The sequence below is a fragment of the Homo sapiens genome, chromosome 5, assembly GCF_000001405.40.
Source record: "Homo sapiens chromosome 5, GRCh38.p14 Primary Assembly".
Classification (NCBI taxonomy): Eukaryota; Metazoa; Chordata; class Mammalia; order Primates; family Hominidae; genus Homo; species Homo sapiens.
Window position 1 is genome coordinate 6,619,276 of NC_000005.10, and position 27,756 is coordinate 6,647,031.

The 27,756-nt window shown below is 43.9% G+C and overlaps 2 protein-coding genes across 7 annotated transcripts in view, besides 4 other annotated features; one reads left to right on the top strand and one right to left on the bottom strand.

Moving 5' to 3' along the window:
- NSUN2 (NOP2/Sun RNA methyltransferase 2) overlaps window positions 1-13,769 on the bottom strand; it is a 33,806-nt gene extending 20,037 nt beyond the window's left edge. Inside the window, exons 1-7 of one of the 3 annotated variants that reach the window (NM_017755.6) lie at window positions 13,609-13,769; window positions 13,324-13,481; window positions 12,598-12,702; window positions 6,289-6,394; window positions 3,939-4,010; window positions 2,741-2,825; window positions 831-1,023 (exon numbers count right to left, since the gene is read on the bottom strand). In NM_017755.6, the coding sequence (NP_060225.4) occupies window positions 831-1,023; window positions 2,741-2,825; window positions 3,939-4,010; window positions 6,289-6,394; window positions 12,598-12,702; window positions 13,324-13,481; window positions 13,609-13,704 (815 nt within the window). In that variant the 5' untranslated portion in view covers window positions 13,705-13,769. The remainder of the gene's footprint in view (window positions 1-830; window positions 1,024-2,740; window positions 2,826-3,938; window positions 4,011-6,288; window positions 6,395-12,597; window positions 12,703-13,323; window positions 13,482-13,608) is intronic. The other 2 variants (NR_037947.2, NM_001193455.2) reach the window with 2 other exon arrangements.
- Window positions 13,865-14,376: an enhancer, noted in NCBI's record as "H3K27ac hESC enhancer chr5:6633253-6633764 (GRCh37/hg19 assembly coordinates)". NCBI's record gives its function as "activates a minimal SCP1, AML or CMV promoter by ChIP-STARR-seq in naive and primed H9 embryonic stem cells {active_cell/tissue: H9 hESC(naive and primed)}" and the evidence as "EXISTENCE:reporter gene assay evidence [ECO:0000049][PMID:30033119]".
- Window positions 13,865-14,401: a biological region, named in NCBI's record as "H3K27ac hESC enhancer GRCh37_chr5:6633253-6633764".
- Window positions 14,012-14,401: a silencer, noted in NCBI's record as "silent region_15899". NCBI's record gives its function as "represses an Ori minimal core promoter by ATAC-STARR-seq in GM12878 lymphoblastoid cells {active_cell/tissue: GM12878}" and the evidence as "EXISTENCE:reporter gene assay evidence [ECO:0000049][PMID:35858748]".
- The window catches only part of SRD5A1 (steroid 5 alpha-reductase 1), a 40,947-nt gene continuing 27,355 nt past the window's right edge, over window positions 14,165-27,756 (top strand). For 3 of the 4 annotated variants that reach the window (NR_136739.2, NM_001047.4, NM_001324322.2), the window contains exon 1: window positions 14,165-14,594. Coding sequence is in view for 3 of the 4 variants with exons in the window: in NM_001324322.2 (NP_001311251.1) it covers window positions 14,276-14,594 (319 nt within the window). In the remaining variant the exon portion in view is untranslated. Of the gene's footprint in view, window positions 14,595-25,532; window positions 26,035-27,756 lie in introns of all 4 variants that reach the window. The other variant, NM_001324323.2, reaches the window with a different exon arrangement.
- Window positions 14,377-14,888: an enhancer, noted in NCBI's record as "H3K27ac hESC enhancer chr5:6633765-6634276 (GRCh37/hg19 assembly coordinates)". NCBI's record gives its function as "activates a minimal SCP1, AML or CMV promoter by ChIP-STARR-seq in naive and primed H9 embryonic stem cells {active_cell/tissue: H9 hESC(naive and primed)}" and the evidence as "EXISTENCE:reporter gene assay evidence [ECO:0000049][PMID:30033119]".

A 27,756-nucleotide genomic window follows, 5' to 3' on the forward strand; every position in this document is an offset into this window, starting at 1 on the left:
CATACTGAGTTTTGCCATGAGCAGTAACTCTGCCACTTACTGAAACAAAATGGCATTCTTCCATAATGTGGTATCGTATCTAAAGCTTGCATTCTGTGCTAACAAGTTTTGTGGCAGCTTTTGAATTCTGGTCTTGACAAACTTATGTCATTCAGAAGTCATTATCACCTGGGATCATCATCCGTGCACCTCCTATGGGAACGGAACAGATGATGTCTTTAGTTTTGTTTCTTTCCTTTTAAAAAAACTTGTTACTCAGTTATACCATGAGTATTATTTTATATCTAAACTCTAAATATCTAAAATGTTGATGTATTATCTCAAGAAAGGTATAAAAACACAAGCAAAATGAATTTCTTAAGGGCTTGAACTCCGAAATTTCTTTCATTCAACTAAATAACATAAAATCCAATGTGATTACGTATTATTTTATGACAAAGTTTTTTATATACTGTACTCACTGGAAGAACTAATACAAAATAGTTGGGGTGCACAAATTGTTCCAAGCAATAACATCCTAAAACACACCACAATAAGAGTCTACGATTCTATTTTCCTCTTACGTATTTTCTCTGTTTTGTTTTGTTTTCTCTTTATCTTTCTGCAGGCTATTGCAACCACCCCTTTCTGTTCTTTATCCAGCATCTGCTGTGCTGCTTCTCATTAAGACGTATCTACGTGTCCATCTTTTGGTTTAGGCTCACGCTATCTTTCTCCGCACCCCAAGACTTATGTACAATTGTGTCATATTCATGCACAACTTCATTTTAGTCTCTATTTGACTTGATTTCTTTAGTGGATTTGGGCTTTTTGGCCAATAAGATAAATACCTGCAAGGGACATCACATAAAATTCGATCATAGAAGAGGATCTCTTTCCTGCCGTCCACATCTATCTGGAGCCTGGGTATGCTGGAGGCATCATGGTTGACCACCATGATGCAGGGGCTGCTCAGCCTCTTGGCTTGATGGACGAGCAGGTAGCAGCGCTTGTTGTCCACATCATTCGCAATAACAAATCCCTCTGAAGGCACAGAATTGCAGTGTCAGGTGAAATGGAGCCTAAGTGGAATCACATCCTGAAATATGCGACCTCCAAAGGTCAGCCAGTGAGAAGCAGCAATCCACCAAACTTAAGACCCACAGTCAAGGTTTTCCAGAATTACGTTAAGTGGTTCAAAAAAAGGAACCAGGTGGCTCTGGATGGATTTTATGGACACTCGAATTTTGAAAGCCTCAAAAGTCATCTATTCAACAATTATTCACTTTGTGCCAATTACCATGCCAAAAATGTCTTTTCTGTTATTAGTAACGATTAACTACAAAAAAAAAAGATGAGGAGAAAGGTGTAGAAACAACAAAATCACCTTACAAATGTTTCAAAATCCTGAACACAAGCCGGGACCCTGCTCTGACTGTGAGTCAGGCTCCTAGGGTGGGGCCCCAAGCACCTGAACACGGAAGCTCTTCCCGGGAGGCTCTGCAGGCTGGGAAGTCTACTGGGTGTACCTCTGCTCATCTCTGGTTCTTCTCACACCCCCAGCAAAAAGGCAAATATACCAACAACATGTATGATCAAAGCCACTCTTCACAACAGTATGAAATGCAAAACATCCACAATACAAAAAGGAGAACCTGCTGCTACTGGGACGCCAAGGCTCTTTACTGCCAATGTGGAGAAAACAACTAAAAACAGGGAAAAGTGAAGCAGGCTTTTTAGCCAAGGCATTATCTTTAAACAATGTAAAAAAGAGGATTTCAAAAAACAGACCTAACAAATATGCCTATTAAAACAGAACTAGAGAAGTTTGCCTGAACAAAGATAGGACGAGATGAAAGCTGACTCTAAAACATCACGATGGGTATTTGTTTCCACTTAAGAGAAAGGGGCGTGGTGTCACTATAACAGCTAACATTTCCTGAGCACCTCGCAAGCTACATACTGATTCGTCCCATTTCACATGGGATGTCTAACACTGTAAGTAACTTGCCGATTAGGATTTGAACCCAGGGAGTCTGATGGTAGCTTTTAACTACACACTACTACCCTTCATGTAAGGCAGTAAGTAATAATAATAATAATAATAGTAATAATAATGAACAAAGGTGGGGGAAAGGGGAAATTGTTACTAAAAATTCAAACAGTGAAATCTATCTTCTGTAAGTAGGCTTGATAAAGAAACACCATCTGCAGCCGGGCGTGGTGGCTCACACCTGTAATCCCAGCACTTTGGGAGGCCAAGGCGGGCGGATCACGAGGTCAGGAGATCGAGACCATCCTGGCTAACATGGTGAAACCCCGTCTCTACTAAAAATACAAAAAATTACCCGGGCATGGTGGCGGGCACCTGTAGTCCCAGCTACTCGAGAGGCTGAGGCAGGAGAATGGCGTGAACCCAGGAGGTGGAACTTGCAGTGAGCCAACATCACGCCACTGCACTCCAGCCTGGGCAACAGAGTGAGACTCCATCTCAAAAAAAAAAAAAAGAAATGCCATTCGTTTTTATAGAAAACACACATAATTCTAAAATAAAGCTCCCCCATGGTATGAGTGTGTTTGTTTGAGTACTACTGACGGTGGTAGGCAAGATGTCCAGTTCTACTTCCGGTAGACGGAAAACCCAACTGCTTGTCATAGGAGACTTTAGAGCCAAATTAGCAGGCAAAGTTAGAGTCTTTTCCTTGTCTACAATCTGCCAAAGTGGCATTCCTACCATTTTGAACACAAGTCCAATGCATACCTGGAAAGGGGACATTCATGTCGGCATGTAGCATTTCAATTAACTGTGTGGTCTTTGAGCCAGGTGCTGCACACATATCTAAGATCTATTAACAAAGCAAGAAACTGTTTCATGTTTTTAAAAAACCAAATATTCTACATTTAATTTAAAGCAATTCTAGTTTTTCAATTTCTAGTCCAAGATCTAAATATACTTCTTTACAGAGTCTATAGCATGACATAATTTACTTTTAGGGATTCTACACTGCCCCAAAATCACAGAATGATATAGGTACAGTCTCCAAAGAGGATGGGAGGAGAATGAAACTGTAAGCCAGAGAGACTAAATATAGAGATGAACAAGTAAGAATCATGAAAACATAATGCTAAGGAACAGAGCTACCTAGACTCAAATCTCAGCTCAGCCAGTTAACAGCTCCGTAACCTCAGTTCAAGTACTTCTCCTTGCTTCCTTTTCCTCATCTGGAAAAATGGAGATGGTGACAGTATCTGCCCTTAGAGGGTTGTGTGAATGATAAAGCCAACTAATTCACCTAAAAAACACAGAGCAAGGCCAGGCACAGTGGCTCACACCTGTAATCCCAGCACTTTGGAAGGCCAAGGCAGGCGGATCGCCTGAGGTCGGGAGTTCGAGACCAGCCTGACCAACATGGAGAAACCCCGTCTCTACTAAAAATACAAAATTAGCAGGGTGTGGTGGTGCGCACCTGTAATCCCGGCTACTTGGGAGACTGAGGCAGGAGAATTGCCTGAACTCAGGAGGCGGAGGTTGCAGTGAGCCAAGATCGCGCCACTGCACTCCAGCCTGGACAACAAGAGTGAAACTCCATCTCAAAAAAAAAAAAAAGAAAAGAAAAAAGAGCACAGAGTAATGCTTGCCATACAATGAGCTCTCAATACATGTTCACTATCATTTTCAACCTAATTTAGCCAATCACCATCACTGAAGACAATCCATATGGTAAACAAATCAGTAAAACTAAAGGGGAGAAAATTTTCTAAACCATAAAAATTAAGTAGGACAAAAAAGAAAAAAAAAAAAAAAAGAAACTAAGATACGTACATATCACTCTCTATCCAAAGTGAAAAGAAGAAAAAAAGGACTAATTATATTAAGAAAAAATGGTTTCATCAAAACAAACAGGCATGACACTGGTAACAAGCTGCCCGCCCCCACGTTTCTAGTTGCTATATGCTACCTTATGATGAGGCCGCACGTTGAGGAGCAGTGGTGGGATCATGCTAACAGCTTCTTGACGACTAATATTTCCCTTGAGGAAAAAAAAAAAATCAGCAACAATTAGGAAAAAAAAAAAAACCGCAGACAATTTCAATCTTTGGCATTGTTTCAAAGGCAACAGGAAAACAGCACATAATCTTATACAGAATGAGAGAACTCATACTATCACACAGAACACTAAATGAGATGGATCTGTACACTAGCGGACAAATGGTTGCTATACCATTCAAATATTAGAAATTCAGGTATAATACCAACTTCCATGAAAGAAAAGGGACTTGAAGCTTACAGAGCCCCAACTCCCCATAGCAGTAGAGCACAGAAGCTAGAGGGGCAGCTCTCAAAGACAGAAATGCTATTAAATATTTAAACAAATACCTTCAACAGACAGCATCAACTTAGGACAGAAAGTGACTGTCAAATGGTTTTTCCTTCTTGCCTAAAATTCTATTTCTTAGTCCTCCACTATTTTCAGACATAGCCCATGCCCACTTTCTATTTCTCATAACTACCTTTCAAAGAGATGAAGACATCAACCACTGCTTCCATCTTTCCATCTTTAGACCTTCAATATCTAAAATTCCTCACCACACTCCCTGCCCTCTGTCTTCTCTAGTCGGCCAGGACATCTGTTACAAGGCAGAACTATTCAGGTGCAGACAAAATCCTCCTGCCCTGCCCAGCACTAGCCTCAACCACACCTCTACTTTAATCGCCTTGAAGCTGAGGCTTCTGCTCCAACACAACCCTACAAAAGCTGGGACTTCTGGAAATGAACAGCCACCCAGGCATCCATCACTCACCTTAAACTCAGGCATGTGACTGTCAAGAGCCTTAAATACAGGCTTTTACACTGATGGCTGCTAATTTTCACCTCATGGGTTTCTGGCCAGCATGAGTCTGTGGTGATTCACTCACTAGGCACACTGATTCCAAGCTTTTGAGTTATACGTGTGATCCTGATATGCCTGCCTTCTGTATCCATCCAAGGTTTTGATTAAAGCATTAAGTAAGATGGGGACATCCCGGCAGACAGTAACCAGATTCATGACCACCCTGTGTAGATGTTTTGTGGCCAGCTTTCCATAACCCAGAGGTTATTGCCATTCATCTCAAGAGCTCTCATCACGCTGACTCCTAATCAAAAACCTATACTAGTTCCCTACAACATTTGCTACCCACCCTAAACTCCCATCTCCTCCATCTTCCAAACATGCCAAAACCTGGCTCTTCCAACCTATCCATGTGTATCACACCCCACAAACCCCACGCTCTCTTCCAAGTGCAAACCTGAGCTGTTCTCTAGCAGCTTACTGATCTCTATTTGGCCTTCCATCTAGATTGAAAGTTGAGCAAGAGAATCCTTTCGTGCACTGGTCTCAAGTACGAAATGGGGTTATGTGGCAGCACTTAGTTCCTGGTTCTTGTTACTATTCAGGAAGGAAAAGCCAGGCAGACACAAGCCCAGTTTAGTCGGTTACTTAGATGACAGAAGGCCAAAGTGAAAAAGAACCATAATCTGGTGACACACAGATTTACTAGAAGGTAGTAGTTTAGAAAATAGGAAGGACGAAACCTCTGATTTTAAATGTGAGACTAAGAATTCCAAAAAAAATACCCAAACTTTATGGGCATTCATTGAATTATTTAGTACATAAGCAAATAGCTGTTTTGCTGGGGATGCTCTGATGCTAAAGGTAAAAAGCTCAGCACCTTAACTGCACTCAAGGAATGTGGGTGGCTACGGAGAATGTGAAGACAGATGCCGTCCTGTGAGGACCAAAGCTGTGCTTAGGGGTTTTGTGGTGCTTAGGTGTTTTGTGGTTACCAAGAGCAATGTGTGGTAAGAAAAAAAAAAAACACAGTAAAAAGTAAAATCAAAAGCTTCATTTTTAGTAAAATAAATCAATTTTAAAAAACAGAACCAAAAACCTATTCCCTACCAAGATGGCCTTAAAAACATACTACTTTTTATGTACAACAGGCATCTGAAATGTGTACCTAAGAAGGAAATGAGAGTGCAGTGCTCACCCCAACCCTATAGCCATCCAAATACACAAGCAAGAGGAAACAAGAAATTAACTAGCTGGCATCGATATCCTTACTAAATTTCATGACTAGATAAACCAAACAAGGCAACGGATATACAAATAATCAGAAATCACAGGTGGTGCACACACTGCAGTTGTCTTTACTGTGTGTGATGTCCACCTACTGCTTCTAGTGACAAGAACCTAAAAACAGAACTACACTACATCTATGCATTTACAGCTTTAAGGAAACTAGCAAGTCTAAAGAAATCAACTTACAGATTCTGTTTCACTAACTAGAAACTGATGAAACTTTTCCAAGTGTGGCGATTTTCTCAAGATTTTTCGACTTAAATTTGTGTGCCAGGCAAGTTCTTCAGGATACCTGACCAAAAAGAAAGCAAAACATTTATGGATTATAAATACTAAAGTCGTCTGTTGACAACTTTGTGCTTCTATCAGTCGCATGCCAAATGAGACTTCGAATGTTGTTCTCCCTGCTCCTATTCACAATCCTCTACGGACAGTCAGCAACACTCAGAGATGTCGCTGTAGGCTTAAGGAACATGGCTCTAGCTACACCGTGGCCCAATCAGAAACAGGAGAGCCATGGGGGTTACAAGATTATGCATATTACTGTAAAATTATAATGATGAAACGCTCGAGATCAGATGAAAAAGCGGACACTCCTCTGCTCTTCACCATTATAAGGTAACAATGGTAAGGTCATCAGAAAAAAAAGATACAAGATGACTTACTTAATGTGCAGATCACACAGAATCAAAATAATGCAGTGTCAGAGTGTCCCACAAATACCTGATTAGTTTTTTAAAAAATATATTTTTCATTATTTCTAACACCAGTTCAATAATGCACTAAAATATTTTACATACCAAAAAAATCCTACCTTGGAAACCACTAATGCATTAACTTGAGCTCCTAGGCTGTTACCTATATATAACTAAGAATAAAGCATTTCCTGCCATCATATCTGTGAATATATTTGAACTTTCTATAAATGATGACATCAATGTTATTTTTATTTTTTTTATTTTTTTTAATTAGGGGAGAAATGGGGGATACTAAAAACACTGCCTTTTTTTTTTTGAGACAGTCTCACTGTCACCTAGGCTGGAGTGTAGTGGTGTAATCTCAGCTCACTGTGACTTCTGCCTCCTGGATTCAAGTAATTCTCATGCCTCAGTCAGCCACCTGAGTAGCTGGGATTACAGACGTGTATTTTCAGTAGAGATGTGGTTTTGCCGTGTTGGCCAGCTTGGTCTCGAACTCCTGGCCTCGAGTGATCCGGCCGCATCAGTCTCCCAAAGTGTTGGGATTACAGGCATGAGCCACTGTACCCCACCCAGGATGTGCTTTGAAACTTGGCCTGCACCTATACAGGCATCTGCACCGTACAAATGAGCACACTGATGTCATGCAGCACCATGCTCAATCCAATGCCAAACCAAGTGTACCACGTCACACGGCCATAAATCTTAGTGTAGTTTCAGCAATTCTCACTAAACCTGAGATGCAGTAATACACTCAATTTAACAATGCAGGCTCACAATGTTTCCATGCGTCAAATTGTAGCTAGAGTGAAAACCATGAAAATAAAACTGGAATGTCTGGAAAACACAAACACATTTGACTGCTTTTAAACTCTGATTTTTTGATGGAAACAAACTCAGGACTTAAAAGCCCGACACTGCTCAAGTCAAAATATTACAAAATATACCTGAAAAGCATTTTCTACCAAATAATGAAGACGAAACTGGCTGAATCTGTCCACGGCCACCCTCCAAAGGTCCCCAGCGCTTTGATTCTATCTCATATAGCCCAGTTCCCTCCTCGACATTTAATGTGTTCAAAAATATAAAGCCAAAAGAAAATCATATTCATAAGGCAATTTTAAAAAGAATTGTTTTAAATAATCTTTTGGACTCATTAGAGGCGAAATAGTAGGTTACATGCAAATTTGGCATTTGCTATAGTATTGGGCAAATATCTGCTGTGCCACTGTAACCTCTACTTGCAAACAGCCAAATGCCAGCTCATATAGTATCTGGTCTTCCTGAACTTGTCTGTCTCAAAGCTAGTACGATCATGTAAGTTATTGCCTTACCAAATCACTAAGACATCAATATGAACACCACATGCCATTTAGACTTATTGTAAAGAGCTGAATTTTCATTTTCAAATATAGATAAGCAGTCTAGATATACTTTGAACAAATATAGCCTTATATGTCTTTTTCGTCAAATTTCTGATAGTCAAAATGTAAACGTACTATTACAAGATTAAAATTCTACAGTATTTATAATTGTGAAGGCTGTTGATCTCATGTAAAGAAACATTTAGGAACTCTGAAATATTTAAATACAAACAGAAACTAACAGATAAATGTTTATTTCCTCTGGGTACAGAGAACAGCCTGGGCAACAAAGCGAGGCCCTGTTTCTACAAGAAATGTTTTTAAATTATGTTTCTTATACAGCTTTAGGAACAGCATCATCTTTTTATGAACCAAAAAATGTTTATTAAATCTTTGTAGATTTTAACATCAAACAAAATGAGAGGTATATTTAATTTTTAGTTACTTACTTCAAATTTAGCTTGTGTCTTTTAAGAAAAAATCCTATTTGGGCTTTTTAGAGGATAAGTTAAAAGGACCACTGTCATCTTTGCATATTAAAAATTCTCAAGTGGTAAGGACTCTGTAAATATATACAACATCTATGACAAACCATCCTCAATCTAGACATTAAAAAGCACGTAACAGGCGAGGTGCAGTGGCTCATGCCTGTAACACCAGCACTTTGGGAGACCAAGGTGGGCGGATCACTTGAGGTCAGGAGTTCAAGACTAGCCTGTCCAACATGGCAAAACCCCAACTGTACAAAAAATAGAAAAAATAGCTGGGTATGGTGATGGGGGCATGTAATCCCAGCTACCTGGGACGCTGAGGTGGGAGGATCACCTGAGCCCAGGAGGTGGAGGTTGCAGTGAGCTGAGATCATGCCACTGCACTCCAACCTGGGCAACAGAGACCTTGTCTCAAAAAAAAATATAAGTAAACAGCACATAAATAGAATGATAATAAGGTGCACTCTGAACAATTGGTTGTCAAAACAATGCTTCTATAAGAATGCTTTAGGATAATTTCTCATTGTTCTGAGTCTATGGAAAGTAAGAAAAAAATGAAACTGGCCCAAGCTATGGTCCTATACATAACTTTCCTTCTAGAAAATGTAATTTCAAAAAACGTTTTCCTAAATTATATTTCACTATGTACCAGAGGATTGGGAAGAATATTACATGATCTATTCCTGCATCTTGAGCAATACAGAAAATTACCAGAAGTCCTGGAAAGCTTCTGCTTTACTTGCTTGCTGAGAGATTTAGTACCCTAAAACTGACAGATGAATTTGAATAAATAAATGTTTAGAGAATACAGCTGCCAAGAAACTGGCATTGGCCAGGAATGGTGGCTCATGTCTGTAATCCCAGCACTTTGGGAAACCAAGGCAGGAAGATTGCTTGAGCCCTGGAATGCAAGACCAGCCTGGGCAACAAGGTGAAACTCCATCTCTACAAAAAAATAAAAAAAATTAGCCAGGCGTGGTGGCATGCACCTGTAGTCCGAGCTACTCAGGAGGCTGAGGTGGGAGGATCACTTGAGCCTAGGAGGTCAAGGCTGCAGTGAACCGTCATGACATCACTGCACTCCAGCCTGGGTGACAGAGTGAGACCCTGTCTCAAAATAAAATATAGAGAAACCATCATTGATAATGGAAAAAGCCAAATATTAGAAACCCAGATCTACAATGTTTTGTTCATACCCTTCAGCTGTGTGTTCAGAAAATTAAAGCAAACAAAAACATAGCTGGCTGTTGGCAGAGAGCAATTCACCTTCATTCTTCAACTACAGACAACCTGCAGATTCTAAGAGTTTGGTAATTACCTTGTCATATACCCAGACACATTGTTAAACAAGGTGGAAAAGCAGCTATGAAATGTTAAAAGGGCTGATCAAATCCAAGTGTAACTGTAGTTTGCAGAGAATAATAAAAAACTAGCAAGCCTTATTGACATCGTATGGTTTCTCCTAGTTTGTTGGAGCCTGCAGAAGAAAATGCCCACATGGAGGTGCCTTAAGAGCACACCTCTTCCCTATAGACACATGCTGAAACGTTCCTCCTGGACAGGAACTTCTTCATCTTAAAAGCATTTCTTATCCCGTCTCTGCGCTTCTAAACACAAGGTTTTAGAAACAAATGTTTCCAGGTGATTGTGTGAAGCAGCACATACATGCATCACTGCTAAAAATACAAACATGCCCGAGGAGAATCGTAATCCTGTCTTCTTAAAATATTTTAGATGGTTTGGCTCTGTGTTCCCACCCCAATTTCACCTTGAATTGTAATATTCCCCACGTGTCAAGGGCAGGACGAGGTGGAGATAATTAAATCCCCGGGCCGTTTCCCTCATGTTGTTCTCACAACAGTGAGTTCGTTCTCAGGGGGAGATCTGATGGTTTATTAGGGGCTTCTTCCTTTGCTCAGCACTCATTCTCTCTCCTGCCACCCTGTGCAGAGAGATCTTCCGCCATGATTTTAAGCTTCCTGAGGCCTCCCCGGCGATGTGGAAATGTGAGTCAATTAAGCCTATTTCCTTTATCTATACATTACTCAGGTATGTCCTTATAACAGTGTGAAAATGGACTACTACAGTATCAGACCTCTACTTCAAGTACAACACAATCAGTGTCGTCAATCAAATCTTCAAACCAAACGACTTGAGCAAAGTCTACAACCTAGTTACCAGGAGGAAGAAAAGCTTGATCTCGTGAAGGTTACCTCATCTCAGCAATGCCATAACTAGAGGCTGAAAAACATCTACCTTTTCCACTGATCTCACTACAGTGGACAATTAGTGACCACTAACAGCAACGTAGCACCCGTATCATTTTCCTATACTGTACCCTTCAAGCTTTTAAAAATCTAAGATGTGGCATATCTATTCTTTTTTCCCTTTTTGAGACATGGTCTCGCTCTGTGGCCCAGGCTGGAGTGCAGTGGCATGATCTTGGCTTACTGCAACCTCCACCTCCTGGGTTCAAGCGATTCTCATGCCTCAGCCTCCCTAGTGTCTGGGATTACAGGCGTGTGCCACCATGCCTGTCTAATTTTTGTATTTTTAGTAGAGATAGGGTTTCACGATGTTGGTCATATTTATTCCTATATCCCAGCAACACATTCCATGATGGTGATATTCGGTCTTGATACTGGTTGAATACTGACTTAATGTTTGGCCAGTCAGCATTCATTGTGAATGTATATGCTTATCTGTGATAGGGACAATGAAAATCCAAATAGCCAATGAAAGAAAAACAAGCAAATCTGTACCCCATGATTAATGAAAATCTGACCTTGATTTGCGAACACTAAAGGTTATCCAAAAAGGAAAGATAACACTACGTACTGGAATAGTCAAAACCTCAAAAGTTGATGCAAAACGCTTAATTTGGCAGGGCGCAGTGGCTCACGCCTGTAATCCCAGCACTTTGGGAGGCCGAGGTGGGCGGATCATGAGGTCAGGAGATGAGACCATCCTGGCTAGCAAGGTAAAAACCCGTCTCCACTAAAAATACAAAAAAATTGGCCGGGCGTGGTGGCGGGCACCTGTAGTCCCAGCTACTCGGGAGGCTGAGACAAGAGAATGGCGTGAACCAGGGAGGTGGAGCTTGCAGTGAGCCAAGATGGTGCCACTGCTCTCCAGCCTGGGCGACAGAGTGAGACTCCGTCTCCAAACAAACAAACAGACAAACAAAAAACGGCTTAATTCACCTTTTCGTGCATTACTTTTCTGAGAACTCAATACCTCAAAGTTAATAATAACGACTTTCCCACTTATGTAAGTTAACTGAAGGACTGGCGCCTCCGGAGTTCTCCAAGCATCTTTACAAGATGCTATCAGCACAAGGGATCACCTTCATACAACTGAGACTAGAACCGAGCCATGAGGAATAGGTAACCCAGAAGGCACCTCCAGGACAGGTCAAGAAAGAGGTAGCTCCCAGAGTAGTAGCACGCTTGGGTGCTGAGACTCGGAAATGCTACATTGGCTGGTGCAGTCTGTACTGCGAAGTACCAGGAGACAACCTGACAGCAGACAGTGGTAACCTGTCTGTAATGGAAAACACTAAGAGACTACCTACCAGGAGACTGTTGTCAAGCTAAGTCTGTCCTTTTTCTGAAGGCAAAGCAGCCACTCTGCAACAGTTTTGATGTGAGAAAACAAGGGCTGTAAAAGGGAGCTGGCGGAAGTGGTGACATAAAGGAAGAGGCTGGATGTACTAGGAAGAGCTGGCTGAAATCAGTGACTCATAAAGCTGCAAATCGCAAATCGCATGAAAACTTGCGTAGCAATATAATGTTGATAAAAGCACCAGGTACTAGAACATTAGGATGTTTGCAAAGTATACCCAAGCTCTTTAACAGCAAATGCAGTACCAAGAAATATAATTCAAGTGATAGAGATTAATATCCCAAATAAATATTCGGCATGAAGCACTGTGGTACCTACCAACTCAGTGGCTGTGGAACTTCAACTTTCTGACCGTCCACCTCCAGGTCCTCCAATTCCTTAAAATATTTGTTCTTTAAGCAATGGAGAATCTCTTTTGCGTGGCTATTGAAAAATAAGGAAGTTTCAAACTGATCTAAAAAACTAAGTTAATACATTGTATCTTCTTAAATTTAAGACTGCAAGTGTTTTAAAACTAAAACCAACTTTTGCATGGAGAGTAAACATTCTTTAGTCACTACTTTTACACTGTATGCCTTCAAAATTTAAGCAATCCACACTGTTTGAGCCCTAAGAGCAACACTGCATTCCTTCTCTCCTAAGCATATCCTACCGTTAAGTTTTACTTGCGACTCATTTAGAAAGATGTAACTACAAAGATGGAGGGGGGGCGCGGAGGAGGGGAGAACCAAGGGGTTTTATGCATTCTCTATAAATTCTCTTACGTTCCAAAAGGTAAGACCCTCAGCTTCCCTCCTGGAAGATTCCCCAGGAGCCGAATCTTCCTCAGATCTCATTTTCATTTCGTCTTCTAACCTTGCGCCTGCAATACCTCCGTGACCATTTCATTGGACCCTGTGCTCCCCACCTCAATGCTTCCTGAATCCAAACCGCTGAAACGCCACGGTTCTCTGGCACTGTAACACTTGTCGAAGAAAACACCGTCGCCTTTAACCTCCAGCATCCTGGCCCCAACTCCCAAAAAATCAGGCACTGCCTCCCTACCTTTTGTAACCAGTAATTCTTAAAGTGGCCGGGAGCGGCTCCCTGAGAGCGTCCATGAACTGGCCCCACTCGCCCTCGGGCACGATCTTGAGCTCCTGGTAGTAGTGCTCGAACAGCTTGTTCTCCTTGACGATCTCGGGGTAGCCTCCTTCCCAGCCCTGAGGAAGGAAAGAGACGTCTACCCCGAGGCCCAAGGAGCCGCCCCCTCGCCGCCGCCTCGCAGGCCTCGGGGTCCGGGAAGCCCAGGAGGAGCCCCTGGCCCGCCCGCCGGGTCCCGGCTCCTACCGCCTCGCCGCGCTTTCCACCACCCTCGGCGCCATCCTCCGCGTCCTCCGGCCGCTGCTGTTGCTGGAGCCGCCGACCCCGCGACCGCCGCCCCATAGCCCACGCGGCCGCGCACGCAGCACGCAGAAACCGGCCCGCCACGGCCAGAACTCTAGCCCTACACCTCCCGGGACTTCCGGCCGGAAACCAAGGCCCCACGTGTCCGGGCCTGGTCCTTTCGGGGACCTTTGGGGACCGTCCAGGAATAAGCCCAAAGCGCACAACCCGTCTTTCAGAAAAGCGGCGTGACAGGGAAAACAGCGAACAGCTCTAAGGGGAAAAAAATGCTCCAGGAAGCAGCCACAAAGGCGTCTCCGCGCGAAGCGCCCAGGTTTCCCACGCGGGCTCAAGGAGCTCCGCGGACAGCCTGAAGCCGCGCGTGCGCAGAGCGGCGCGGGGTTACTGCGGCCCCGGCGTGGGTGGGGCGCTTGCAGGTCCCTCCCCGCGCAAGTGCTCGCCCCGCCCCCGGGGCCGCACCCACAGCCCCGGCTACCCCGGAGAAGCCTGACTTGAGAACCCTTTCTGCAGAGTCCCGGCAGTGCGGGACTCCGGTAGCCGCCCCTCCGGTAGCCGCCCCTCCTGCCCCCGCGCCGCCGCCCTATATGTTGCCCGCCGCGGCCTCTGGGGCATGGAGCACGCTGCCCAGCCCTGGCGATGGCAACGGCGACGGGGGTGGCGGAGGAGCGCCTGCTGGCCGCGCTCGCCTACCTGCAGTGCGCCGTGGGCTGCGCGGTCTTCGCGCGCAATCGTCAGACGAACTCAGTGTACGGCCGCCACGCGCTGCCCAGCCACAGGCTCCGAGTGCCGGCGCGGGCCGCCTGGGTGGTGCAGGAGCTGCCCTCGCTGGCCCTGCCGCTCTACCAGTACGCCAGCGAGTCCGCCCCGCGTCTCCGCAGCGCGCCCAACTGCATCCTCCTGGCCATGTTCCTCGTCCACTACGGGCATCGGTAACGTCCCCGGCCCCCGGCCCCCTACCCTACTCCCGGCCCGGCGTCCTCTCCGACCCTCCCCTCACTGCCCGGTGCCCTCTCCCCGAAGCCTCCCCCACCCAGATGCCCTCTCCCTGCCAGATCCCCCGGGGCGTCCCCCATCTGCACGGGTGCCCTTCCCCGAGTCCCCCGGCCCCGGGAGTTTGGAAACCAGAAGGGATTCGTCTGGAAAGGGCGGGAAACAAAGGACTGGAAGGGAGTGATGGAAAAAAACATGATGAAACTGATCTGGAAAGAGCCACTCAGTGGTCCTAGGTTTGGTTTCCTTAGCCGGGCGCGGTGGCGCCTGTCTGTGATCCCAGTTACTCGGGAGTCTGAGATGGAAGAATCGCTTGAACCCGAGAGGCGGAGGTTACAGTGAGCCGAGATCTCGCCACTGCCCTCCAGCCTGGGTGACAGAGCGAGACTCTGTCTCAAAATTAAATATATAAAAATAAAGAGTTAAAAAGTAAAAATGTAAAATAAAAATGAAGACTAGATTTTGTTCCCTTAGATCACGACTGTGGGGGCGGGGGGGAGGGGGTTGGCCTAGAGTCTAATGCTGATGGTCGGTCTTGAGGGCCACTGGTTTCTACTCCTTTCTGCCGGTTCCCCTTTTGGTATCTTTGGTGATGGTGGAGCTGTTTTCTCCCAGCCAAGTGATCAGCTGCAACTGGAAACCTGCTGTCCTAAAACTGCCTAGCAGTTTCTCCTTATAGGCTTGATCACTTTCAGAGACTTTCATGTCCACCTTATGCAAGGGACCCCAGGATTGTGGGGGTGGAAAGCCAGCAACCTTAAACCTTAAACAAACGAAGTCTTAAAGATGACTTCTAAATCTTTCAAGGTTTTTGTTTTTTTGAATATTTGAAAACTGGCTGTGTCTGAAATCTTCAAGCCTTCTAATAAGTTGGGGTTCTCTCCAGGTCGTATCTTTTGGCTTTTACACAGCCAAAGCAAACGACAGGTCGAAAGTTCAAAATTAAATTTTAAACGTTTTCATTCAGGCTCTGGAAAGCTTCACAGTTAAAAAGGATGTCTCTACACCCAAGGAAGTTGAACTCACTGGCTGTGTGACTATGGGCAGTTTACCCAACCTTTCTGATTTGGGGTCCCACCTTAAAACACTCACTTCCCAGAGAGACAGGAAGAACTCAGTGTGTGTTTATAAGCCTCTCTTCTTTCTCCTGGTGTCATGCATTCCAGCGAAGAGAAAGTACACAGCTCCACTACTTGGAACCAGTGTTGTACCCAGCACAGTTTTTGGTACCTGAGTTCCCTGAAAACCAGCACCTTACCCTGTAACTGGTGCAGTCTGTGTCCTCAGTGTGCTTTGATGACTTGCACTTTAAACAAGGGCAAGTCAACATTCATCAGAGGCTTAGTGAGTACTGTGTGCCTGAAACTCTTTACCATTGCTTTATTTTTTTTTTGGAATGGGATCAACCATTGCTACAATTTGAATATTAGTCAGACTTTGCTGTTTGTATATACTTTTCCATAAATATACCAGAAGCTGTATGTCTGTTTCTTTATGGCTAAAAGCAATCTCAGGTCAGAGTATTCGGTGCTATCCTAGTCCCATCAGTCATGACCCTGGATGAGTTACTAAGCTGCCCCGCAGCAAGGTTTCCCCACCTGTAGAATGGGCATGGTGATGGAACCCCCCTGTGGGATCACATGAATTTAGAGCAAAGGCAACTCCCTAAAATGCTTGCATGGTGCTGGCGCATCTGCGTGCTCAGTACACAATACCTAGCACTATTTTGCATTGCTGTGAATGCACATCCAGACATGTACTCTGTGTGTCATTCATGTGCACTGCTGCCAGCCTCATGTGCCAGCAAAACTGTGGTGTTGGAAATCAAGGGAACACTTGACAAAGTTTTGCCTGACATCCCAAGTGGAAGCTTTTTAACTTGAGACATCATGTTTCATTGTACCTACATTCACTCAAGCAGAAAAATGAATGCAGCCTCCCAAAGGGCCAGAGTCACCTTGAATGATAGAACTTGAACAGCTCATTCATACAGAGTAGAACACGGAGGCACAGCATGCTGCTGTCTTCCCTGAGGCTGTTGGATAAGGAGCTGCTGGGATGAAAGCCCACTTCCTATACTAATAGTTTAAAAGCTGCTCCAAGAGGATTGGCTGGGTCAGGTATAGTTTTTTTTTTAAATTGCTAGGCTATTTTTTTTTTGAGTTGTACATGTTATTGTGTACATAGTCTATGTGGTTTGGGGACATTTACATTTTCCAAATAGAAAAGATAAACATTTTCCATTCTACCCAAGCAACTAATTTATTAAACAGTCACTTGATCTAAGTCATGAGCACTTGGAAGAGAACCAGAGTGGAAACAGCATTTAGCACTGAACACAAACCATCCCAGCAGCCCCTGGAAGCGTCCTGGAGCCCTTTATTTGCACAGGGCCCTGCAGAGAACGGAGAACACCACACCCGGTGAGAGGAGGCTGTGGGTACAAGGATGACTCTTATGAAAGGCAGGAGAAAAGTGAGCCTGAGGAGGCGCTGGCCAGGCAGAGCCAGTACCACCTTACACAACCTGACAGGTGTGCACACAGGCCCTGTGCTGACCTGTGAGGTTTCGCTGGAGTGAGGTTGGGCCCTGCCTTGGGGAACTAGAGCCTCTTTTGGGAGTGGCAAGGACCAGAGCCAGGTCCAGGGACTTTCCACAGTCCATGAGGCCTGAAGGCAGCAGCAGAGCTACAGCTCTTCCCAGAGCAACTGACTGTTCTGGGAACAATGAGTACAGGACAGTCAGGTCAAGGAGGGAGGAAAGGTGAAGGAAGGGATAGAGGGAATGGTGCGCTTTCATGTATTTATTCAGCAAACACTTAAGGAAGACTTACGTGCCAGTGAGGATTTCTGGACCTGGCGTTGTGCTGGGGATATAGTGACAAGACATTCCCTTTGAGTTGAGGAGTAAAAGACAGGTTATGGAGAATCTATGGGGTCTTTTGGACACAAACACCAGGGAGGGAAGGACAGGCTGCCTGGAAGGGGACAGGGCTGGGGTGGGGGGATAGCCATGACGCAGGACGAGCTGTGGTCCTGACCAGTTCCCCCAGGAGGGCAAAGGACATTTTCAGGAACATCTTTAGGGCTCACGGTAGCGACAAGGATTGCCTGCCTCCTATCTGTGCTGAAGCCTCCTTCTGATCCCAGGGCGCTTGGGTTCTTGGGTGCAGGGGCGGCAGCGTCTCACTGGGGCCCTAGTCATGTAGAGCATGGAGTGGCGTCTGGCATGGTGGCAGCCCCTGGAGGCAGGTGCCTTCCCCAGCCTCCTGGCAGGCCTCCCTAGGGCCTTCCGAAGCCTGTGCCTACTCCTATCACCTTTGCCCTCTGCTCTGTGATTACAGTGACGCCCCGCTGCATTTACCCTGTTCCCTGGCCCTCTATTTTGTCTCCCTGGGCTGGTGCTGTAACCCAGGTCCTCATCATCTGTGTTGGTTCTTGCTGGGCTTCTTCACTCTTCCCCACTGGTCTTTCTCTACCCTCGTTTGTAAATCCTGCTTTGCTAGACACAGCAAAAGTCTCCCGGAGTCAAGGGCATTAGCTCTGAACTGTGTCGGAGTCGCTGGGGGGCTTTGCAGACTGTGCCTGACCTCATGCTCTTTCTCTCCACCCACGCAGCTTTGTTCAGTATTCCCTGAACCCAGGCTGCTTTGCTCATGGATTTTCCTTCCCCACTATCAGCAGTGAATTAGTCAGGGGATTGTCTCTGCATTGCACATTCATTTAACAAATAACTCCGAGGAGCCTGAGCAGGAGGTGCCGCTTGCCACGGGAGTCCTCAGTGACTGCCTTTGTTAGGACTGGTGGCCAAATGGTGCCCAGAGTGCACAGTCAGATGCCCAGAGGCCTCCTCTTTCTGACACCTGTCCCAGGTTTGTACTCAGCCAGGTCCATGACCTTGTGGGACTTTGCTTCTGTCTTTATCTCTGACGATGGTGCCTCAAAACATTGCACCTACTTTGATTCCTTGTATCTCTCGTGTAATCCTATTAATGGGCTCCTGTGGGGAGCCTAGCCCAGCTTCACTTTTAAATGTGCGGTGGGTAATGTTAAAACACAGCAGGGAACTTTGAGGGTGAAGTGTGTTAAAAGATAAACTCAGGTGCATTAAAATTGTAGTTTTTTTAGGCTGGGCGCAGTGGCTCATGCCTGTAATCCCAGCACGCTGGGAGGCCGAGGAAGGTGGATCACACGAGGTCAGGAGATCAAGACCGTCCTGACCAACATGCTGAAACCCTGTCTCTACTAAAAATACAAAATTTAGCTGGGTGTGGTGGCGCATGCCTGTAATCCCAGCTACTTGGGAGGCTGAGGCAGGAGAATCGCTTGAACCCAGAGGTGGAGGTGCAGTCCAGCCTGGGCAACAAGCACTAAACTCCATCTTAAAAAGAAGTCATAGCGTTTTTTGGAGCAGACCAATTCATGAATCAGCACCAAACCACAAGCAGTATGAGCTCCACCTAGAAGGTGTGTGGGAAAGCCATTTTGTAAGACGTGTTTGCACAAGCAAGACAAAGGAAGCATTTGATTGGTCAGAGTGGAAAGTTCCGGAGGTTAGTGGGTGGTTTCTCCTTGGAACAATCTCTCATTAGAAGTCAATTGGCAGTTTCTGATTGCTTTAAGTTTCCTTCCACTGTTGGGTTTCCATGTGCTTATGTAAGACACAAGACACCATCTCAGCCTGATGGCCTTCTAATTAATTTGTTTTAATAAGGGCATACTGAATCCTTGGCCCTTGCCTCATAGATTGGAATAATCTGAGAAAAGAAAAACTTCTATTCAAAAGTGTAGGATGATGAAAAGTGAAATAATGATAGCCAAGCACTTATTTTAAGCATGCTTTGTTGGCAGCTGTGCAATTTGGCCATCATTTCAAAAGTCTTTTACAGAAGGAAAGGCTAGGTGAAAGGAACAGACCCAAATCTAGGAAGTGCCATAGATTTCAATGGTCTCACGTTGTTAGGGGAAAAAAGCAATAAAGTCGATCATTAAAATTAACCACTCTCAGTTTTAAACATTTAAAAATTATTAAATCCACCATGACCTAAATTACTCCCATATAACCAAATTCTCTATTTCATTGTTCCCAAACTTGGGGGTACAACATTATAGGTTGTCCTGAAAGATGACGTCCAGACGCTTTGAGAGTCAAATCATTTGCTGAATAAATGCCTTGTTGTTATAAGTAAACCAAGGGATTATTATTCCAGTTTGTTGGGAAAATATTTCAAGACATACTTCTTTAGTTCCCTGTGTGAATTAAACAGGCATAGAACTTGCTTGCAAGACGACAAAACCCAAACATCTTACTTTAAACGCTTTAAAGAATAGTCATTCCAAGTAGTTGCTTGCATTTTCATCCTCTGGAATGCATACTGTGCTATATTTTGAGTCTTTCCCCTTTGGAGCAGGTCCCATCGAGCATATGAGTATGAACAGTTATTTACCAGTTACTTGGGTTTATACTGTATGGGTAATTCTGCCCGTTTGAATAGCTGGAGAAATCACTCAAGTGCTGCTTAGGAGCAGACGTTTGAGAAGCTCAGAGTTCTCAGTGCCCTTGTGTGGGTGCCACCCCACAGCCCTCGCGGACAGTAAGAATGGACATGGAGGCAGCCCCGATGATTTTGTTCTTTTCAATAATCCATTTTTCTTCCTGGGTGCTTATAGGGCACTTTCTTTTTCCTTAGATGGATAATCTGTGTTTGCTTGTTTATTAATTTCGCCTGATTTTCTCCAAGCCTTTTTAGGAAATTGAATTTAGCCCAGGAAATTGAATTTCTCCGTGTCTCTCATTCTGTCTGTTCTGAATGTTAGGTGCCAGGACTTAAGATACTTGTCAATATTGTATGTGAACAAACTTACAGGTGAAATACATGCTTGTTGTAGAAAACTTAGAAAATAATTCAAGGAAAGAAAGAAAAGTTGCCTATAATTTCATCTTAGAGATAAAACTGACGATATTGTGGTATTATCTTTTTCCCATATCTTTCATTGCTTTTAATAAGTTTTTTTCTAAGCAGTAGAGATACACACATACACATACAACATCTTGTAACCTACTTTTAGCAGTTGGTAAGTATTTCTTCTGACTTAATAGAAACACTTAATGAAAATGACTGACAGTGAGGATTTCATATGCTTGGGCCAGACATTCCCATGTCTCAACGGGTCCTCATGGTGTGGTGGCTGGAGCACCTGGGAAAAGGGACATTGCCAGCCAGCCCTGCCTCTGTGATGTTCTCTGGCCATGTCACCATATTCCTGTGAGCTTCCACGTTCTGATCTGTAAAATAGGGATAATAGTCACAGTTTTGCAGTGTAAAAAAAGGGCATTTAGTATAGGATTAGGAATTATTAGAAACACTTTGATAAGGAACTATAAGATGCACTTTTATATTATATCTAAGCTTGTAAACTTAACCAAAAGGCAACTGCAAATCGTCCTGGCCATTAAAGCACCAAATAAATTCTGGCACATTAATACTCTCAGTTCAGCTCCATCATCAAACATGTCTCCCATTCCTGGTGGCCTCACAGACACCAAGGTTTGCAGTTTTCATGGGTTATAAAAACAACTTGATGAAAAGCAAGTCTTATTCTTTTTTTTTTTTTCAATTGAGATGGGGTCTCCCAGTGTTGCCTGGGCTGGTCTCGGAACTCCTGGGCTCAAACAGTCCTCCTTCCTTGGCCTCCCAAAGTGGTGGGATTACCACCACACCAGGCCAAAGCCTTGTTCTTTGCCTGGAAAGAAATAAGATAAAATAGGAAAATTATAACATGACAGAGAACAAAGTGTCAGATTTAATCTTACATTTACTCTGATTAATCAGCAAACAGAATCTCTGTGTAGCTTCCCAGACCTGACTGTTTTGTATTCGTTAGCTTGTAATCAGAACAGAAAACAGATATATGACACATTACTCAACATCCTTTTTAATCCAAGTGCTTCATAGTTTCTCTTAAAAATGGTTTCCATCTTAAGGGACTGTCACCTTCTTGTTCAATCCTTTATTTTCTCAAAGAGAGGGAATAGTTGTTTCCCATTGTTCCTCTATGGAAGGGTGATTTTGGGTGCGAATGGGATGGTGTAGGAGAAGGGGCTGTGAGTGCCCATGCCTGTCCTAACTGGGGTAGTCTGGGCCGCAGACTGATGTGCTGTGAGTTCCATGAGTAATTTATGTCCAGGCAGGTGCACCCACCTTCCTTGCTATCTGAAATTGGCCCCATGGCCCTAAGTAGGACCCTGTCATTTATGCCTGGGGTCCGCTGCACTCTCTCAAGTGCTGTCGTCCCTCTAGAGTCTAAACAAAGACTCAGGTAAAAGCCATGCCCAGACACCTTCTTCCCGACCCCACCCCACGCGAGTTCCAAATTGGCCACAGTCAAAGGAAAATCTTCACCGACAACAATGGATTTCCAAGGAAGTAAACTGAGTAAAGCTAAAGGGAATGGCCCGCAAGAAGAAAAGCCTTCCAGGAGATGCTGAGAGGGGCAGAGCGCTTCCTTGGAGCGGAGTGCTAGGTCCAAGTCAGAGCTCTCTAGAGGGAGGGAAGTCAGGAAGAAGATCTCACCTTCTCCTAGCAACTGGAGGCAGAGGCAGCACTCCCCTCCTCTCCCCTGTCCACCACTCTGTTGACTTCAGCGGTTTTATGACAGGCCTATAGGCATCAGGGTTACTGGTGTCCCCTTCCAGGGCAGGAATCAGAGAACACCAGAAGAGACTGGTGTCGATCTTTGTAAGGCTCGGTTTCCAGTCCTTGCAGTTCTCAGACATTCACATGAGACAAAAAAGAGGGACAAATCTTATCCTGAGGTTCTTTGTGAATGTCTTATCCAGGGCATGTGCTAGAGCAGAAGTCATTCAAAAATGCAGCTACGCAGAAGCACGTCCTCACTCCCAGAGCACAGCCAAACCTAGACCGCAGCAGCTGCAGCCATGTAGCACCAGTGCCCTGAGCAAGTTGATGTCAAGTTGATGTCTCCAAAATATAACACACTTGTGCTAATTCAGACTAATTGTCAGCAGGCTTTTCTGGAAAGAGCCAGGTAGTGCATATCTTAGGCTTTGTGGGCCAAGATACTGGGTAGGTATTTACGATGAGAGAAAACACATTTTCACAAAAGTTTCAGTGGTAAATTCAAAATATATTATCTTAGTGCATTTTTTGTAATATATGTCTAATGAGAAGAATAGAATTCTTTTCTTGGTGAGGGATAACATTTCACTTATTGGGATTCAAAGTTAGTGTTTCCTATTATCAACATCTATTGTAAATGTTCCTCTCAGTGTTGATCTGTCATGAGATTTTACGTATTTTATCTCTATAAATGGAAGCGTTGACATCAGTCCACATGTATATGATTTTAATTGAGCATGATCATCACTTGGAAGGCACTCATGGAATCCTGTTAGATTCTTCTCTTGATCTTTGCCTTTCCATATGGTATTACATTACAGATTCATATCTTCCTATGGAAGATTAGATGGCAACTCTTCCACTGCACAGCTAAATGGATTTTGAAATATGGAAATCCAGGTTCACACACTGTATTTAAACTTAGAATTTATATCCACTGCAAACTCATGTGAGCATGGAGAGCTCACTTCTTTTAATTTTAATAGCATGGAAAGTACAGAACGCAGTTTGATATGACTTGTGATTGGAACAATGGCAGTTGTCATCAAAATGACTTTAACACAGTATGAGTTTTGCACAAGTGCTGTTTTGCCTTGCAGCTTTAGGTTGAATTTATTATCAAGTCTGCAGTAAAAGCTACTTAAGCCCTTCAGAACTCAATAATGGTGGTGAGGGCAGTTCTTGCTCAGAAAAGTTTCAGTCTCAGCTCTGAGCTCAAAATAATGTGATGAAACTTTATTAAGCCATCAAACTGGTGTATTTATGTGGGACAAATCGGCATAGTCAGCTTATTTGTGACAAAAAGTTAGAGAACTGATGATAGTTGAGTCCATGAGAGGGATTGTCATTCACTGTTGACACTATGGGCTTAATCACACACAACAGATTTTCTGCAAAAGACCTGCTGATACAAGGAATAGCATGAAACACCTTACATTTTTACAAGTTTGTAAGTTTGTAATTTGTTTTTTTTTTGTCCCATACATTTTTATCACCATCATTTGCAACAGCTTAGCAGATTCCACTTTGGATTCTACTAAATTCGTGTTTTCTCAACATCTTTGAAAATATTCTCACCGGTAGTTGTTCTGCACAGACTATCTAAAGAGCCTAACCCTTCATTCACTTCAGCCTTGATGTGAACTCCTCAAATAAACAACTGAGCCATATCAGTAACATCCATAGACTCACCCAGAGCCGACAAAGACTGCTCATCATCTGCCTTGCTTTTTCTTTTTTAATTATTATTTTGAGACAGGATCTCACTCTGTCACCCAAGCTGGAGTGCAGTGGCATGATCCTCAGCTTATTGCAGCCTCCACCTCCCAGGCTCTGATGATCCTCCCACCTCAGTCTCCCAAGTAGCTGGGACTACAGGCATGTACCACCACACCCAGCTAATTTTCATATTTTTTGTAGAGAGGGGGTTTCGCCATGTTGCCCAGGCTAGTCACAGCCATCTACCTGCCTTGGCCTCCCGAAGTGCTGGGATTACAGGCATGAGCCACTGCATCTGGTCCTGCCTTGCTTAAATAGACTGTTGAGGGTGCTCCCAGTGTCCTTAACTCCTCTAGCAAGTGTTCTCCCCAAAAGGCTAATTGTGAGAAACAAGTGTGTATTCTCTGGACACGCCTCTTTGGTTGCTGCTGTTGATTAACTCACCGTTGATGCACAGCTTTCCTTGCTTCACTAACCAATGAGCCGCCCGATAACCTACTTTGGTTGCAGCCTCATTTTCCTTTGTTTTGTGAAGAAATCCTGCTGCCTTGGCCTCTGTGCCTTAAATGTTCTAGTTTTTCTGACCAGTGCTTTTCTGTGAGTTGGGAATAGGCTGGTGAGTGCAGAGTCTGATAATATTATCCTCTATTATATTCTTTTGACACAGTTCTAGTGTCATTGCCAGCTGACGTTTTTCAGGTCAGAATTCAACCCACAACTTAGAAGAAAATTGGGAGAAATGGATCAAGGTTCGCTGGATGTGATTCTGATATGCCAGAGGGAACGTCCACCACATACGCAGAATGTTTCCTGGGAGTTGCTTCTCTCACACTGCATTTGTCCATTGTTTAAATGGGTGACATCCAATGCAGAAGTGTCTTAAGCCATTTTCAATTCTGTGTATTTCAACCTTGCTAATATTTTCCCTTCCTCTTTTTCACCTTGCCTTCCTGTTATCCAGTATTGAATTTAGGATGGATTTTTTTCAGGTCCAGAGGCCCGACCTCTTATGAACTGAGTCCTTTCTATTTTAATAGACATCTTGCTAAACCAAATCCAGGCCTTACATTCCCCTTTTATGTCTTGCTCTTTTTTTCTGTATTTCCTCAAACTTAGAATTTGAACACTTTCTCACCTCTATCCTGCAGTTTGCCTAGTGGGAAATAACTTGAGGCCGTAACTCTCAGGGAAGTTTTCTCTCAACTTTCTCATACCGGTGTCCCTTTTGCTCTTTGCCGCATTGAGAATCTCCTAAGCTGACTTCAGAAGTGGGCTGCTTGCTCTTGGTACTTCTCAGCTTGGTACACTGAGGGGTAGAGTGAGAGCCACTCTGTCTTCTGCCATTAATTCTGTCCATCCGGGTCTAACACAAGGCCTCCTGTTCTGGTTGACAAATGGGCCGAGGCAGGAAGGATGTCTGATCACAAGACAAGATTGCCTCCTGTTTTTAAGGGAGCCTATGACAGTCCAAGAAGCCCACACGTACCTCTGTCAAAACCAAATTCTGCTTGTTCCACAGGAAATGTTGGTATGCAAGCACTTGCAGTGTGCCTACATCCCAAATGCCAGCCCATGGTACCCATTGTCTGCCCGGATCTGAATCATGATTCCAAGACGCAGAGAGAAATTGCTGGGATTCGTTGTTCTTATTCATTGCTTGGCAACACTGCAGCTTCCAGGAGAATACCCACCTCACTGATGACACAACATCTGAATGCACACTTACTGGCCAACACGTGCTTTGCTGTAAATCAGTATGAAGTCTTCCTAGGGGTCCTGGCCTGAATGAGATGAGAACCTTGGAGGCTGCTTTTGACTCATGTGAATGTCTTCCCCAGGAGTTAAGTGGGAGTGCTGGGGAGAGAGTGGCTTGAGGATGCACAGCCAGCATGACACTACTATTATGTGATTACTGTCGACGTTCATAACCATAACTAATGACTAATTATGACTTTACCCTGGCGCACATGGTCAGAATGGAAACAAATAACAAGCTTTACAGTTTTTCCTGCTCTATTAAGGTATAATTTACAAATAATAAAATTCACCCATTTTAAGTCTGTAATTTGGGCTGGTCGCGGTGGCTCAGGCCTGTAATCCCAACACTTTGGGAGGTAGAGGCAGGTGGATCACCTGAGGTCGGGAGTTCGAGAACAGCCTGACCAACATGGAGAAACCCCGTCTCTACTAAAAATACAAAATTAGCCGGGTGTGGTAACACATGCCTGTAATCCCAGCTACTCGGGAGGCTGAGGCAGGAGAATCGCTTCAACCCGGGAGGCGGAGGTTGCGGTGAGCCGAGATCACGCCACTGCACTCCAGCCTGGACCACAAGAGCGAAACTCCATCTCAAAAAAAAAAAAAAAAGTCTGTAGCTTGATGAATTTTGGTGATTGCATATAGTTGTGTAATCATCACCGCAAATCAAGAGGTAGAACAGCTGTATTCCTCTAAAAAACTCCCTTTGTGTCATTGTGGCCAGTCTCCACCCTGACTCTATTTTTGCCTTGTCTGGATTTCGTAAGTCTAAATTCAGTTTCACAATCTATTTTTTTTTATTTTCTTTATTATTATACTTGAAGTTCTAGGGTATATGTGCAGAACGTGCAGGTTTGTTACATAGGTATACACATGCCATGGTGGTTTGCTGCACCCATTAACCCGTGATCTGCATTAGGTATTTCTCCTAATGCTATCCTTCCCCCGATCCCCCACCCCACAACAGGCCCCAGTGTGTGATGTTCCCCTCCCTGCGTCCATGTGTTCTCATTGTTCAACTCCCACTTATGAGTGAAGACATGCAGTATTTTGTTTTCTGTTCTTGTGATAGTTTGCTGAGAATGACAGTTTCTAGCATCATCCATGTCCCTGCAAAGGATATGAACTCATCCTTTTTTATGGATGCATAGTATTCCATGGTGTATATGTGCCACATTTTCTTTATCCAGACTATCATTGATGGGCATTTGTGTTGGTTCCAAGGCTTTGCTATTGTGAACAGTACCACAATAAACATACGTGTACATGTGTCTTTATGGTAGAATGATTTATAATCCTTTGGGTATATACCCAGTAACGGGATTGCTGGGGCAAATGGTATTTCTAGTTCTAGATCCTTGAGGAATTTGGTTGGTAGGCTATTAATTACTGCCTCAATTTCAGAATTTGTTATTGGTGTATTCAGGGATTCGACTTCTTCCTGGTTTAATCTTGGGAGGGCGTATGTGTCCAGGAATTTATTTATTTATTCTAGATTTTTCTAGTTTATTTGCATAGAGGTGTTTATAGTATTCTCTGATGGTAGTTTGTATTTCTGTGGGACCGGTGGTGATATCCTCTTTATCATTTTTTATTGCATCTATTTGATTCTTCTCTCTTTTCTTCTTTATTAGTCTGGCTAGCAGTCTATCTATTTTGTTGATCTTTTCAAAAAACCAGCTCCTAGATTCATTGATTTTTTTGAAGGGTTTTTCATGTCTGTCTCTCCTTCAGTTCTGCTCTGATCTTAGTTATTTCTTATCTTCTGTTAGCTTTTGAATTTGTTTGTTCTTGCTTCTCTAGTTCTTTTAATTGTGGGTTAGGGTGTCGATTTTAGATCTTTCCTGCTTTCTCTTGCGGGCATTTAGTGCTATAAATTTCCCTCTACACACTGCTTTAAATGTGTCCCAAAGATTCTGGTATGTTGTATCTTTGTTCTTATTGGTTTTAAAGAACATCTTTATTTCTGCTTTCATTTTGTTATT